At 58.4% G+C, this 14465-nt stretch overlaps 1 protein-coding gene across 16 annotated transcripts in view, besides 2 other annotated features; it reads left to right on the top strand.

Annotated features, from left to right (window-relative positions):
- Positions 1904-2003: a silencer, noted in NCBI's record as "silent region_10238". NCBI's record gives its function as "represses an Ori minimal core promoter by ATAC-STARR-seq in GM12878 lymphoblastoid cells {active_cell/tissue: GM12878}" and the evidence as "EXISTENCE:reporter gene assay evidence [ECO:0000049][PMID:35858748]".
- Positions 2024-2083: a silencer, noted in NCBI's record as "silent region_10237". NCBI's record gives its function as "represses an Ori minimal core promoter by ATAC-STARR-seq in GM12878 lymphoblastoid cells {active_cell/tissue: GM12878}" and the evidence as "EXISTENCE:reporter gene assay evidence [ECO:0000049][PMID:35858748]".
- ADGRL1 (adhesion G protein-coupled receptor L1) overlaps positions 2697-14465 on the top strand; it is a 58427-nt gene continuing 46658 nt past the window's right edge. For all 16 annotated transcript variants that reach the window (XM_047438418.1, NM_014921.5, XM_005259818.4 and 13 more), the window contains exon 1: positions 2697-2881. The gene's annotated coding sequence lies outside the window, so the exon portion shown is untranslated. The remainder of the gene's footprint in view (positions 2882-14465) is intronic.

Raw genomic sequence — 14465 nt, 5'->3', positions numbered from 1 at the left:
CAGCCATGAAATCCTGGGCATGAAGGAGGAACGAAAGTGACCCATCCCTCCATTTTGAAGTTCTCTGGGGCCAGATTTGCCTAGGTTCTGGCTTTCAAGAATCCCTTCCCCGTCGTGAAGAGACAGCTGTCCGTAGAAGGCGGTGGAGGGTGACAGGCTGCCACAGCAGTGGTGCGTGGTCACCCGGGCAGCCTGGAAGTCTGGTGTCCCTGCACTTCCTCCAGTTTAGCCACAGGGACGTGCTTCTAGGAAGGGATTCTTAGAGGCCAAGTTAATTCCCGTGCAGATATTCAATTCAGGCTTTCTTAGATACTCATTTTTCCCATCCAGATATGCCTCAAGTTTTGTGGATTTACCACTCCTACTCAGGAACCCTTTTCCCTTTCCTCATTCATTCTGCAAAGCGCATGGTTAGCAATGCACTCTCTTCCCTGGACATATAGGGAATGGGGGTTTCCCCCATCCCCATCCTCAGCCCGTCCCCCTCCTCTAAAACTCAGATCAGGGTTTGTCTGCCCTGCTGCTAAGATGCAGCCCAACTTTGAACTCTGAGCTGTCTGCTTTAACATTTGGGCCTCACTTGAATGGATTCCCTTCCCTGAGGATTCCAAGCCCTCCCCAGCCATCAGTCTTCCCATCTTTCATAAAATGGAGCCAGCAGCCCCGCTTCAGGGACTCCCCCCCTCCCCCCTGTTCCCTCCACTCCAGGATTCTTCCCACTTCCATTTCCCTCCAGCCCCCACCCTGCACAAAGTTGCCTGTTCTGCCGAAGTGCCTATTTTTGGCTTGGGGCCCAGTTTTATAGCCCCAGCTATAGGTCTTGGCAGTCATAACTTTCGCTCTCCAGAGAGCCAAGCCGGGTCCAACAGCCTTCCCCACCCCAGAGAGGGGGTGCGGGGGCTCCCTCTGCAGCCTCAACCCGAAACCTGCCCCTCGCCTCACTTGGTCTGATGCCTGGGAACCCAAGCCTGCTTCTTGCCCTACTTCTTAGAGTCCACCAGCTGCAATGGAGTTGTTAGGTGTTGAAAATCCATGCCGGGTTTTTACTCTTTTAGAGAACATAAAATTCAATTTTTCCCCTCGCACCCCCTCCCCAAAAGCAAGACTTTGAGGCGTTTACAGGTACAAACCTCCCCCTAACGCTTCCCTCCGCCCCTGCTGCCCGGTCAGCTCCAAGCCCCTGTCCCGGTGGCCCAGGATCTTCTGCTGAGGGTCTCATCCCGTCCCGCGCTCCAGTCCTGGCTTTGCGTGCCTCCCTCGCCTTTTATTGTAGGTCTGGTCTCCCAGGGTAGCGGCCTCATCGCATTCCCTTCGCAGCGCCCCTGGATCCAGAAACCGCTTTTACCTGTCCGCTCCGGTGCAGCCAGCGCGCCAAATCCCTTCGTACCCGAGTCCAGTCCTCCTTTTGCCCGTCCCCCTTGCACGTCGCTGCCAGGAAGATGAGGGCAGCCCAAGTCGCCTCAGCCACTAAGCATCCCCCTTCCAGAACCCCCCACCATGCGAACCCAGGTCCCGGGAGTTCCGGGCCGGGTCTTGCTTGTTTCCACTGCGTTAGGCCTGACGCATTACTCCGTCTCCCGAGAAAGAATCCGGCCCGAAATTTGCGTGCCCCGGGTGCATTTGGCCATGTCGCATCTACCCCCCAACCCCCCGCTCCAACACCGTTCCTCCCATCTTTATCTAATCCAACTCGGGTTTTGCACAACCCTTCCAGATCTCCCCATTTGCGCCCTCCTTCCCCGGGCTCGGCGCCTTTCCTTATACTTCACTGGAAAATCCGCTCCGGGTCTTCCTTACGCCTGTCTCCCTTCCCCCACTCCCCGCTCCAACGCGGGGCTCCAGCACGTCGCTTTCCCTCTCCCTGCTTTTCCAGGGAGGAGGCGAGAGGAGGCGAAAGGAAGGAAAGTCCAGCCCGGGTTTTCGGGCCGGCTCCTGGGGCGCTCAAGCGGGTTGCGGCGGCCAGTCCCGGGCGGCGACTCCGGGCCGGGTTTTGCGCGCGCCCACCGCCCCCCTCCCGGAGCGGGTGCGCCGGGGAGCGGGGCGAGCAGGCGGCTTGTCATTGCTGGTGCCCGGCGCCGGCTCGGTCCGCGCGTCCTGCGGTGCCCACGGGCCCGGCCCGGCGCCCCCCCTCCGGCCGCACCGGGGGCGCGACGCCGCGGCACCCGCCTCCAGCCGCGCCGCCCCCCTCCGCCAGCTCCGCGCCGCCCGCCCCCAACCCGAGCTCCCCGCGGCCACTGCGGGGAGCCCGAGCCGTCGGCGCGGGAGCTGTCGGCGCTGCGGTGCCCCCGCCCCGCCGTCTGCCGAGGAGGCCCCGGCTGATGGGGCCGCGCGGGCCCCGGAGCGGCGCCGCCGGGCGGCGGGGGCCTGCAGGGGCGCCCCGGCTGCCCCGTTAACCCCTCGTCCACCGCCGGCGTCGGAGGGGGCTGGGAAGTCGCCTGGGCGCACACGTGCCGCCTCCGTCGGGGCCGCGGAGCTGCGGGGGAGATGCGGGCCGCTGCCGGCGCCGCCTCGGGGCGCTCCGCCTCGCCCCAGCCCCCGGCGCTCTGACGCCGCCCCCGCCCCACCGCCTCCCTCCCCGGGAGGGGCGCAGACCCGATCGCCCCCAGTCCCGAGCCTCCGCCGCCGCGAGGGGGCCGCCTTTGGATCCGTGTAATCCGCCTCTTTTTTTTCTTTTCTTTTCTTTTTTTTTTTTTTTCCTAATTTTTGGTCGGCGGCGGTGCTGGGCCAGGGGAAGGAAGGGACACGGAGGCCGCCCTCGTCCCGCCACCTCCTACCCGCTTCCCCCCAGCCCCGGCTCCGGGAGATGTGCCGGGCGGGGGGCCCGGGTTCGCCGAGCCGCAGGAGAGACACGCTGGGCCGACCCCAGAGAGGCGCTGGACAGGTGAGTGTCTGCGGGCCCAGGGCGAGGGGCGAAGCCGCACCTGGGCCAGGTGTGCGGGGCGCGTGGAAGAGGGGAGGCGGGAAGGATGGGAGGCCGGGGCCTGTCCTGGCCGCGAGGGGGGAGGGGACACGGGAGCCGCGCGGGGCACCGCACCTGAGCGGGAGGGGCGTCGGGGGCAGCCCGCACCTCACCCCCACTGGCGAGGGGCCTGGGAGGGGCGGCCCCCACGGAGCGCCCGGGGCGCGGGGGTGCGGACGGGCTACCGCAGGGTGCCTGGCGGGGGGAGGGGACCGCGAGTGTGCCCGCGCGTGGCTGCGTGTGCCCGCGCGCGCGCCAGCCTTTGTGGGGAAGCGGCGCGGCGGTGCCTGCGTGTCCCCGGTGCGTGTGCGCGCGGGTGCTTGGCGCCCTGTTTGTGTAGGTGTCTGGGTGTGAGCGGAGGGGGTGCGTGTGCGCGCCGCGCGCCGGCCCCGCGCCCCAGAGGAGCCGTGTCGGGGGCTGGCACCACAGGATGCTGGGCGAGGGGGTTGTTTTTCTCTGGGAGGCAGTGGCGCGGGGGATGGGGAGGGGTCCGTCTGGGTGTCCAGCCGGCCGCAGTCCGGGGGGCGCCGCTGTCAGGAGGAGGGGGTGCAGCCGGGCAGCACCTTCTCTCCGTGGTGCCGGGTTAAAGCACGGGAGGCCGGCAGGTTTGATCCACTCGGATTATTCGTGCTTTGAGGACAGCTCCCCACCCCCACCCCAGGTGCGCATTGGATTGAGCTGCGAGGGTTTGGTTGTCATCCTCCCATCTGACGGTCCTGGGACCCGAGTCCAGGCCTGAAGTGGTGGGGTGGGGGGATGCTGTGTTTGCTCCAGCCGTGTCCAGAAAATGCCCTCCCAGGTATCTCTCCAGTGCACCCCTGGCCCCCATCTGAAGACAGCCGCTGGCTACACACACCCCTGTCTCTACACTTCCAGTCCGGGTCCTCACACTGCCCCATCCCTGGCCAACACCTCACTGTACCTGCCTGGACCCTTTCTTCCTGTTCCAACCCCCATCCACCCCCAGCCATGCCAGCTGCGTGGGTGTTTCTGTATCCCAGTTCCAGGCAGGGCCCCCCCTTCCGCCTGGCTTCCACCGGACTCAGAGCTGGGGTCTGTCTTCCCACATCCCACTTCCCAACATGTGTGCCTGGGGGCAGGAGGGGGAGGGGTTCAAAATGGCTGCCAAGATGGCTGGCTCGCGCGCTCTCTCTCTCTCTGTCTGTCTCTCTCTCTCTCTCTCTCTCTCTCTCACTCTCTCTGTCTTTCTCTATCTCTCTCTGTCTTTCTCTCTTCCCCTCTCTGCTTGCCCGGCTCCCTTATCCTGGTAGGGAGTCACTGCTTAGAGGAGGTCGGATCCAGTGGGGCACACCTGAGGGTGAATGTCTATTCCGGGCCGTTGACCTCCATGCTGTTTGGGGACAGACCATTGGTTTCTGCTTCTCTCTCCAACACCCCAAGGGCTGGCATGAGTCTAACCTGACCCCAGACCCCACTCCTTCACCCTGGCTCACAGCCTGAAAGCTCCGTGCCCTCCACCTGCTCTCCAGGGCCTGGCCCCCTGAATTGATCAACCCCACGGAGGGTCCACACCCCTCATTCTCTTCTCCTGTCTGCCCCCGGCAGGGGACTCTGCGTGGGTCCCTGTCAGGCCCCAGCTTTGGGGGGCAGGTGACTTCTCCTTCCTCCCTGCTCCCCTCCCACTAATGCCAAATTTATTACTTAAAAGTAGGATGAAAACAGGGAGAATAAGAGAAGGATTACAACCTTCATTATCATATCGAGAAAATTATCCGTGATTTTCCTAACTAGCAATTTGTCTGCCATGCCGTTCAGAACTGACTTGCCCATTAATTACAGAGATGAAAAATCATCTGGAATTCGGAAAAGGGAACTAATTCCATGGCTGGCAGCGATCGCACCCGTGCACGGAGCCACATACGTGTGCGACATACGTGTGCGCTCACATGTGGGTCCCGGCCCTCCTGCTGGTCTTGCCACCATCTTCCTACCCAGCTTGGTGACCTCCCTCATGGCCCCGCTCGGTCCACCCCATGTGTGTGTGGCATCTGCTCTGGGACACCCCTGCAGGCCCTCTTTCTCTCCAAGGGGCGCCCATCTCAATCCCCACTTCTGGGCGCTTGCGTACCCCGTGATCACCCACGCTGATTCCTGCTCTTGGGGGTGTAGCTGGCGCCCAGGCTTGGGGAGGATGGGGAGCTGGGGACCAGCACACCTGGGCTGTGGAGCCTGCAGGGAGGGGGTGGAAGGGGGGGACTCGAAGCCCAGCTTCTATTCCCAGCCTGCCCAGGGGAGCCCTTTCTCCTGGGGGGCCTTGGAGGACCCTGTGGGCACGTTGGGGAGGAGCCTACAGGCGCCTCAGCTGCACGGGAGTGTGTTTGCATCCAGCAGTTTGGGCTCCTGGCGGGTGGCCTCTCCACCTGCATGTGAGGCTGTGTGACGCTTGCATCTCGGGGCGTCTGCGTCCTCCCTACCCTGCCAGGCTGGTGGCAGAGCATGTGTTGCTTCAGCCCCAGCGCAGGCATCTCGGTGGGGAGGGTGGCAGTGGGTGCCCCTCAAGAGGAACGGGAGGAGTGGGAGCACTGCCATCCCCGCCAGAGCATCGTCTTTGCCCTCCACCCCCTCCTTTCTCCCTGGCGAGACATGTGGCCAAGGACACACAAGGCTCTCGTTTCTGTGTGGGTTCCTCTCACGGATCTGATTTCCAGATGCCAGACACTTCCCCTCCTCCAGCCCCTCTGTGGGGAGGCAGGGGGAGGGGCTCCTGAGGCGGGGGTTCCCTGGGTCTGAAACCCTGACCCCAGTGACCCTGAAGGTGCCGTGGCAAGACAGACAGCTCCTCCCAGGCTGGGTTTGGGGCAAAGTGGTTGCTATTGGGCACCCTGATGGAAGGGGAGAGACGGGTCCTGGAGTGAGGTGGGAGGCCAAGTAGAAACATGGAGGGGGTCCCGGTGTCCCCAGAATCCAGATGTCTGTCTGTCTGTCTGCACCTGTGCATAGGTGTCCTCTGCCTGTGTGGCCTGGATGGTGATCTAGCCAAGGGTGCATGTGGCCACGTGACCATCAGACTCATCCGGTGTTCATAAAGGTCCCTCCTGTGCTGGTGTTTGTGTTTTGCAGAGGGGGTGGTCATGCTGGGGGAGGCAGGGCTGCAAGAAGGAGTAGCTGTCTGTGTGCACACATGGGGCTGTCTGCATCTTTTGTGCACCTGCAGTTGTGTGCTCAGGACTTCTTGGAGCAAGGCTGGGTGCACCTTGTCATGCAATCTGCACACACTTGCCTCCCCACCCAGCACCATGCAGGGGGCGCCATGGGGGGTGGTGGCCATGTCCTGTCCTCATGGAGCTCACACTCTAGCAACACATATGGGGTTTCCATCAAAGCTCTCCTATCAGCTGGGCGTGGTGGCTCATACCTGTAATCCCAGCACTTTGGGAGGCTGAGGCGGGTGGATCACCTGAGGTCAGGGGCTCGAGACCAGCCTGGCCAACATGGTGAAACCCCATCTCTACTACAAGTACAGAAATTAGCCAGGCGTGGTGGTGTGCACCTGTAGTCCCAGCTACCAGGGAGGCTGAGGCGGGAGGATTGCTTGAATCCAGGAGGCGGAGGTTGCAGCGAGCCGAGATTGTGCCACTGCACTCCAGCGTGGGCGACAGAGCGAGACTCATTCTCAATAAAAAAAAAAAACCCAAAACAAAAAAGCAAAACTCTCCTGTCATGTGAGTTGGGGAGAAGGCATGTGTGTCTTCTTTTCGAGGGTAGCCCCAAACTCTGACTGCAGTAGCCCACAGGCTTGGACTGTCCTGGGGTCTGGCCCTTCATGGTCTTTCTGGGCCATCTCCTCCCTCCTCGTTGCTCGTCCAGTGTGCTAAGTGTGATCCTACCCCGGGGCGTTTGCACTGGCTGTTCTGCCACGGAGGACCCTTCCCCAGATATTTTCGAGGCTTTTTCTCCCCCACCCTCTTGAAATATCACCTCCCCAGTAACGTTTACTCCCAGGCACCTTCTGCAAAGTCTCAGCTTCCCACACCCCTCCTGATGTTCAGTACAGCGGACGGCTTTTCACATAGTCTGTAATTTCCTGATGTTCTGCGCTTGTTTGTTTACTGTCTGTGTCTGTGAGGAGGATCCAAGCGCGCGAGGATGTTGTGATTTGCTTTGCTTTGGGAATCCCAGGTGTCAACAGTCATCACTGGCCCACAGTGTGCGTTCAAGAAGTCTTACCTGACCCAGGTGTGGTGACTCACACCTGTAAACCCAGAATGTTGGGAAGCCGAGGTGGGAGGATTGCTTGAGGACAAGAATTTGAGATCAGCCTGGGCAACATAGCAAGACTCGTTTCTAAAATTTTTTTTTTAATAGTTGGGCATCGTGAATATGTACCTGTAGTCTCAGCTGCTCAGGAGGCTGAGGTGGGAGGATGGCTTGAGCCCAGAGGTTTGAGGCTGCAGTGAGCTATGATTGCACAAGTGCACTCCAGCCTGGGCGACGAAGCAGGATCCTGACTCTTAAAAAAAAAAAAAAATGCCCCTGCCTTCACTGTCTCCTGTTCCAAAATTTGGGGGGAGATAAAAATTCAATAAATAGATGCCCAGGCCAAAAATAACCTTGCCCCCCCCCACCCCGCCAAAAAAAAAAAACAAAAAAACTCAGAATAGCCAGTGCCCCTCCCTCAGAGGCTAAAAATACCCTGCAGGTCACAAATGATCAGGTCAGGAAGCCAGATGGATTCTCCTTCTTATCCCTTGAGGAGGTGAGGGGTCCGGGGCTGGCTTTCCCAGACAGGATTTCCTAGACGATTTCCATTACTCCTGACTTCGGCACTGCATCATTCTCTGTGGGAGGCTGTCCTCTGTACTATAGGATGCTCAGAGGCCACCCTAGCCTCTTCCCGATGGATGTCAGTGACACCTCCAGCCCCACAGTCGTAACACCTCAGAAAGTCTCCAGACATTGCTAAACATACTGGGATCAGGGGCAGAATTGTCCTGGGTTGGCAGTGATGGCTGTAGAGTAGAGGTTGCCAGTGGGAAAAAGTGGCCCACGCCTGTAATCCCAGCACTTTGGGAGGCTGAGGCAGGAGGATCACTTGAGTCCAGGAGTTCAAGACCAGCCTGGGCGACAAAGCGAGACCCCCTTCTTTACAGAATACAAAATTTAAAAATTAGTTGGGCATGGTGCCGCACGCCTGTCGTCCCAGCTACCCGGGAGGCTGAGGCAGGAGGATCACTTGAGCTGGGAGGTCAAGGCTGCAGTGAGCTGTGATCGCGCCACTGCATTCCAGCCTGGGCAACAGAGCAAGACCCTGTCTCAAAAAAATATATACGTAAATAAAATAGAGTAGAGGTTGGCTGACTTTTCTGTAGAAAGCCCGATGGTAAATCCTGCAAGCTTTGCGGGCCGCAGACGGGTTCTGTGGCCTGTTCTCTTTTCTCTTCTTCTCTTCAGTCCTTTAAAAATGTAAACACCATTCTTAGCTCACCAGCTGTACAAAGGCAGGCGGGGGCCTGACCATGGTTGGCCGACCCTGCCCCAGAACGCCCCCTAGTGGCTTCTGGGAGTGAAGGCTGGGCAGAGGGGCGGCCCCATTTGGGGAGCAGTTGTGTGTTTAAAGTACAAGGCGAGTCCTGCACAGTCTGTTCCCGGCACCTCCCTGCTCTCACCTCCTCCCACTCTCCTCACCAGCTCACAACCCGCTTCCTCGATGCAGCTGCCACCGTTATTCAAACATATAGGCACGGTCCAGCCCCAGGGCCTTTGCACGGGCTGTGACCCTGCCCAGGATGCTCTTCTAACTCTCCTGAACTGAACACCTGCGTGCTCCTCTCTCAAATTCACAGGGGTTTGCTGAAATGTCATCTTCTCCAGGGGAGATGGCCTTTCCTGATCATCCTGTTGAAAATTGCAACAGCCGGGCACAGTGGCTCATGCCTGTAATCCCAGCACTTTGGAAGGCCGAGGTGGGTGGATCACCTGAGATCAGGAGATCGAGACCAGCCTGACCAACATGGTGAAACCCTGTCTCTACTAAAAATACAAAAATTAGCTGGGTGTGGTGGTGAGTGCCTGTAGTCCCAGCTAATCAGGAGTCTGAGTCAGGAGAATCGCTTGAACCTGGGAGGCAGAGGTTGCAGTGAGCCAAGATCACGCCATTGCACTCCAGCCTGGATGACAGAGCAAGACTCTGTCTCAAATAAATAAATAAAATAAAATAAAATTGCAACAGCCGGGCACAGTAGCTCGTGCCTGTAATCCCAGCACTTTGGGAGGATGAGGCGGGAGGATCGCTTGAGTTTGAGACCAGCCTGGGAAACATAACGAGGCCCCCATTTCTACAAAAAAATTAAAAATTAGCTGGGCACGGTGGCACACGCCCTGTGGTCCCAGCTACTTGGGAGGCTGAGGCAGGAGGATCCCTTGAGCTCAGAGGCTGTGGTGAGCTATGATCCCACCACTGCACTCCAACCTGGGCAACAGAGTAAGACCCTGTCTCTAAAAATACGATTAAAAAAAAAAACACACACACTCCCAAACCCACACACACTCATAGCCACTTTTCCTGGCTTTATCTTCTTTCACAACACTGGTACGCTATAGAATCGACTTTTTTGTACCCAGCCCCTCAGTGTCTGGCACATAGAAGATGCTCCAAAAAAGATGTGTGGAATTGCCGAAAATTATTTCTAACCCCCACAGCCACCCTGGGAGGCTCTCGTTCCCCAGCTCCCCCGTGGAGAGACAGAATTGAGAGGAGTGACGTGGGTGTCCTGTCGTGCTGACATGACGGCGCACAGCCTGGATTTGAACCTGCAACTTAAGGGCGCTATGCCGGAGGCCTCTTCTCTCCTGCCCTGCTAGGCACCATGCCCCTGTCTCCTGGTCTTACCCTGCCCCTTACCTGCCAGCATCTGATGAGGCAGGGGGATCCCGCCTCTGTGCCCTCTGCTCGGGCCCTAGCTTCTAGAACTCTTTTCAGCTCTGCTCTGCTGAGCTCAGAGTGCAAAGGTTGGGGCTGGACAGTGAACACTTTGGAGTGGAAACAGACCACAGGCCACTGTGGTGTGGACGTGCCATGATGGTGAGCGCAACAGAGTTGCAAGTCAGGGAAGGCTTCCCGGAGGAGGGGGCTTCCCAGCTGCAACCTGGAGGGGGAGGAGGGGTATGGTGGAGGGGAAGGAGCATCTGTGAGAGAGAGGGGCTGCCCTGAGGTCAGACAGAAGATGGTGGCTCAAAGGGGAGGAAGGAGAAATGTTTCACAACTGCATGTGGAGAGAAGCTGGAGGCTGCTGGCTGGACTTGTGACTGTGGGGCTGCCAGGGCCTGTGGCAGGGGTGGGGGTAGAGGTAGGGGGTTTGCGTCAGGATCCAGATGGCAGGGTGAGAATGTTTAGCATGAGCTCCCTCTAGCTGCTACGTGGGAGAGAGCCATAGTTGGCAGGAAGGGAGGCCAGGAGGCCAGAAGGGAGGCCAGGAGGCAACCAGCAAGGTGGGGGCCAGAAGCAGCCAGTGCTTGGTGGAAGCTTCAGGTTTCTGGCTTTGACAGCCCTGTGGACAAAAGGCAAGGGACAGGTGGGGTAGAGAGTACCCTCCACTCCCAGCAACCCTCCCCACACACAGTCTGATCTCCACCTCTGCGGCCAGAGGACACCTGTGAACACCCGAGCCAGATCCCATCCCTCTGTTCAGGATTCCCGATGGCTCCCACCTCTCTAGAAAGCCAAAGTCCTCCCTGAGGTCCACAAGGCCCTGTATGGCCTCTGTGACCCCCCTCCCCAGCCGCCCTCACCTCCTTCCACTCTTCCCCTTGCTTGCAGGGCCCCAGCCACATCTCAGCACATTCCTACCCCAGGACCTTTGCACGTGCTGTTTCCTCTGCCCAGAATGCTCTTTGCACAGGTACCTAGATGGCTCACCTCCTCAAGACCTCTGCCGAAATGTCACTTTTTAGGGGAGGCATTTCCTGGCCACCCTGTCTACAGTTGCACCTACATGTATACCCCCTGTCAAGCACACCTTCCTCCATTGCACTTGTGACCAGTTGGGAACTCGGTAAACATCCACTGAATAGATGATCTGCTTTTTGGGTCTATTTCATCTTCATTCATTAAACAAATGAATAAGCATCCACTCCTTGCCCAGGGTTGGGTATGCAACAAGAGCCAGCCCAACCCACAATGGTACTTTCCCGTCAGAGTCCCTCGATGGTGGGGAAGACAGACATTTAACAGCTGAGCCCAAGTCCAGTTAGGGGAGCAAAACACAGAGACCCTGTGTGCTGTGAGAGTGGATATGAGAGATACGAATGCTGTCCTCTGGGCAGAGCCCTTTGGAGGGAGAGCAGAATAAGGAACTGTGTGTGAGAGAGAGACAGACGCTGAGTAGAAGTGATGGGAAGGTGGCAGGACAGCAGGGCCTGAGATGCCATGTTAGAGCATCACAGGCAATAGGGAGCCATGGAGGGTTGTAGGCAGGGAGGGGTGTAATTGGATTTCCATTTTGCAAAGATCGTTCTGACCTCAGGGTAGAGACTGGATGGGACGGGGTGGCAGATAGATGGGGAGATGAGGGAGAAGGTGTTGGGGGCGGGGGCAGGGAATTTTTTGAACGACCCCTACCCCTCTGCAGTCCAGTGCTGCTTGGTGGCCGGGGTGACCTTTATTTTATTTTATTTAGAGACGGAGTCTTGTTTTGTCACCCAGGCTGGAGTGCAGTGGCATGATCATAGCTCACTGCAGCCTTGACTTTTTGGGCTTGAATGACCCTGCTGCCTCAGCCTCCCGAGTAGCCAGGACCACAGGTGTGTGCCACCATGCCTGGCTAATTTTTAAATTTTTGTAGAGACAGGATCTCACTGTGTTGCCCAGGCTGGTCTCAAACTCCTGGACACAAGCAATTCTGCATTGGTCTCCCAAAGTGCTAGGATTACAGGCATGAGCCACTGTGCCCAGCTCCAGGGTGACCTTTAAAAGGTTCTTCGTTGAACAATTATATTTCAGCTTCCTGCTTGTGCCAGGCGCTGTGCTGAGTGTAGTATGCAAACCCCACCCTGCAGAGCCAGCATCTAGTAGCAGAGAGTTCATAAGCAAATAAAATGCATGGCGTGCTGGTGATAGGTATGGAGAAATCAAGTCAGGACATGGTGTAGGAGTGTGGGGGCCAGCAGGACCTTGCTGAACTAGTGATGTTTGAGGAAAGACCAAAAGGAAGATGCAGGAGGAGCTGTGAGGGGATCTGGGGAAGAGAGAAACAGCCCGTGAAGAGGCCCTAAGGCAGAACAGTGCCTGGTGTTTCACATTGTACAGGGCTTGTTTGTTTTTTGTTTTTGAGATGGGGTCTTGCTCTGTTGCCCAAGCTAGAGTGCAGTGGCATAATCTCAGCTCACTGCAACCTCCACCACCCGGGCTCAAGAGATCCTCCCACCTAAGCCTCCCGAGGAGCTGGGATCACAGGCGTGTGCCACTATGCCTGGCTAACTTTTTGTATTTTTGGCAGAGACAAGGTTTCACTATGTTCCCCAGGCTGGTCTGGAACTTCTGAGCCCAAGCAATCAGCCCTCTTCAGCCTCCTGAAGTGCTGGGATTACAGGTGTGCGCCGCCACATCCGGCCCAGTGCAGAGCCTTTGTATGATACAGACTTTGGCTTTTGGTCGAGTGAGGTGGGAGCCACGGAGGGTTCTGAGCAGAGGAGGGAAGCGGCTGACTTAGATGCTCACACGCGCCCTCTGGTGGCCCTGGGGGAAACATACTGTAGACAGTTTCATTTTGCAAAGATTGTTCTCGCCTCGAGGTAGAGATTGGATGGGACAGGGGTGGCAGATAGATAGGGAGACGAGGTGTAGACAGTGAGGTGGGGAAGTGGGGTCCAGCCAGGAGATGATGGGGCTGGACCAGAGAAGCTGAGGAGTGGCGAGAGGTGAGTGGACTCTGAAGGAGTAGCCACAGGACCTGACGGGGCTGGATGTGATGTGAGGGGAGAGGGATCCAGGATGACTGTCCGGTTCCTGAGCCCCTGGAGGGACTGGGCTGCCATCCACTGAGCTGGAGGATGGGGCAGGGACTGGAGATGCTGTGAGAACCCTGCCCTGCCCGAGGATCATGTACCTGGGCCCTCTCTGGGCACGTGCTCTGTCTCTGCGAGGTAGGTCTGTTAGTCCCTGAGCAGCAATGGGGAAATAGGTTCAGAGAGGCCAAGTGCTTGCTCTGAAGCTACACAGCAGATTGAAATTCAGGGGCTTCAACTCTCAGCTGATCCTTCATAGTCACCCCAGGGCCTGCGGCTTCCTTATGGACCTGCCGGATGCCTGAGGGCTTCCTGAAGGAGGCGGGCTCATGGGCGGCTGGGTTTGGGGAGTGGGCAGGAGGCAGGAGATGCAGCCAGAGGGCTGTGTGTGGAGGGGCCGGCTGCTGCCAGGAAGGGAGGAGACCATGAAGGGGGCCCAGATCCCAGATCCCCACCTTGGTTCCCCCACCCCCCACCCAAGGCACTCAGACTCCCACCCACTCGAGCACGCAGAGGGTTGCCATGGCAACTGCAGGCTAGGGCAGGCTAGAGGCGCCCCCTCTCCCCCAGCAGCCGCTTCTCCTCCTGTTGCTCTCCCCATCCCCATCACAGGGCACCCGAGGACAGAGTCTGGGCCTCAGTGGCCCACCCTGCCGCACCGACCCTTGACTTGAGACAGACGCAGGGCTTAGATGCGAACATACAGGCAGGTGTGCAGCCCCGTTTCCCATGGGTGAGATAGGGTCGCCTATGGCTGGGTGCAATGGATTCCTGGGTACACCTGTAATCCCAGCACTTTGGGAGGCTGAGGCGGGAGGATCGCTTGAGCCCAGGAATTCAAGACCAGCCTGGGCAACATGGTGAAACCTCATCTCTACAAAAAACACAAAAATTAGCCGGGCATGGTTTTGTGTGCCTGTAGTCCCAGCTACTCGGGAGGCTGAGCTGGGAGGATCACTTGAGCCTGGGAGGATGAGGCTGCAGTGAGCTGAGAGTGCACCATTGCACTCCAGCCTGGGCGACACAGCAAGATCCTGCTGTCTCAAAGGAAAAAAAAAAAAAAGAGAAGAAAGAAGGAAAGAAAAAAGAAAGACAAATAAGGTGACCAGAGACTACTGAGGTGCAAGGTGGGGACGGACACAGGTGTGGGCTCACCTGGCTTCCCAGGTGTAGAACGTCCAGGCGTGACCAGCTCTGAGGTTGCATAGACACTCAAATACAGTGTGGGCCCGGGGGTGGGGGCTCTTCTGGCCCCCCAGGATCCCCCCACAGCTCACCAAGCCCAACCTGGGGAGCCAGCCCTCCCTGGGTTCAAGCCCCCTTACCAGTTGAGTGTCCCTGGGTATATCTCTTCAATGACAGGACCTCACTTTCCTCCTCTGTAAACTGTGGGTACAAGCATCTCTCCTTCCTAAATGGTTATTAGGATTACATGAGTTACACGTGGAAGCTGCTCGGGCTGGCACTTGGAGCTGTCCGTCACTGTCCCAGGCATCTCAGGTGGTTCCTTGCTGGAGAGCCCAGCTAGATGCTCACCCTGTCG

The sequence above is a fragment of the Homo sapiens genome, chromosome 19, assembly GCF_000001405.40.
Source record: "Homo sapiens chromosome 19, GRCh38.p14 Primary Assembly".
Classification (NCBI taxonomy): domain Eukaryota; kingdom Metazoa; phylum Chordata; class Mammalia; order Primates; family Hominidae; genus Homo; species Homo sapiens.
This window is presented reverse-complemented; position numbering and strand designations above follow the sequence as displayed.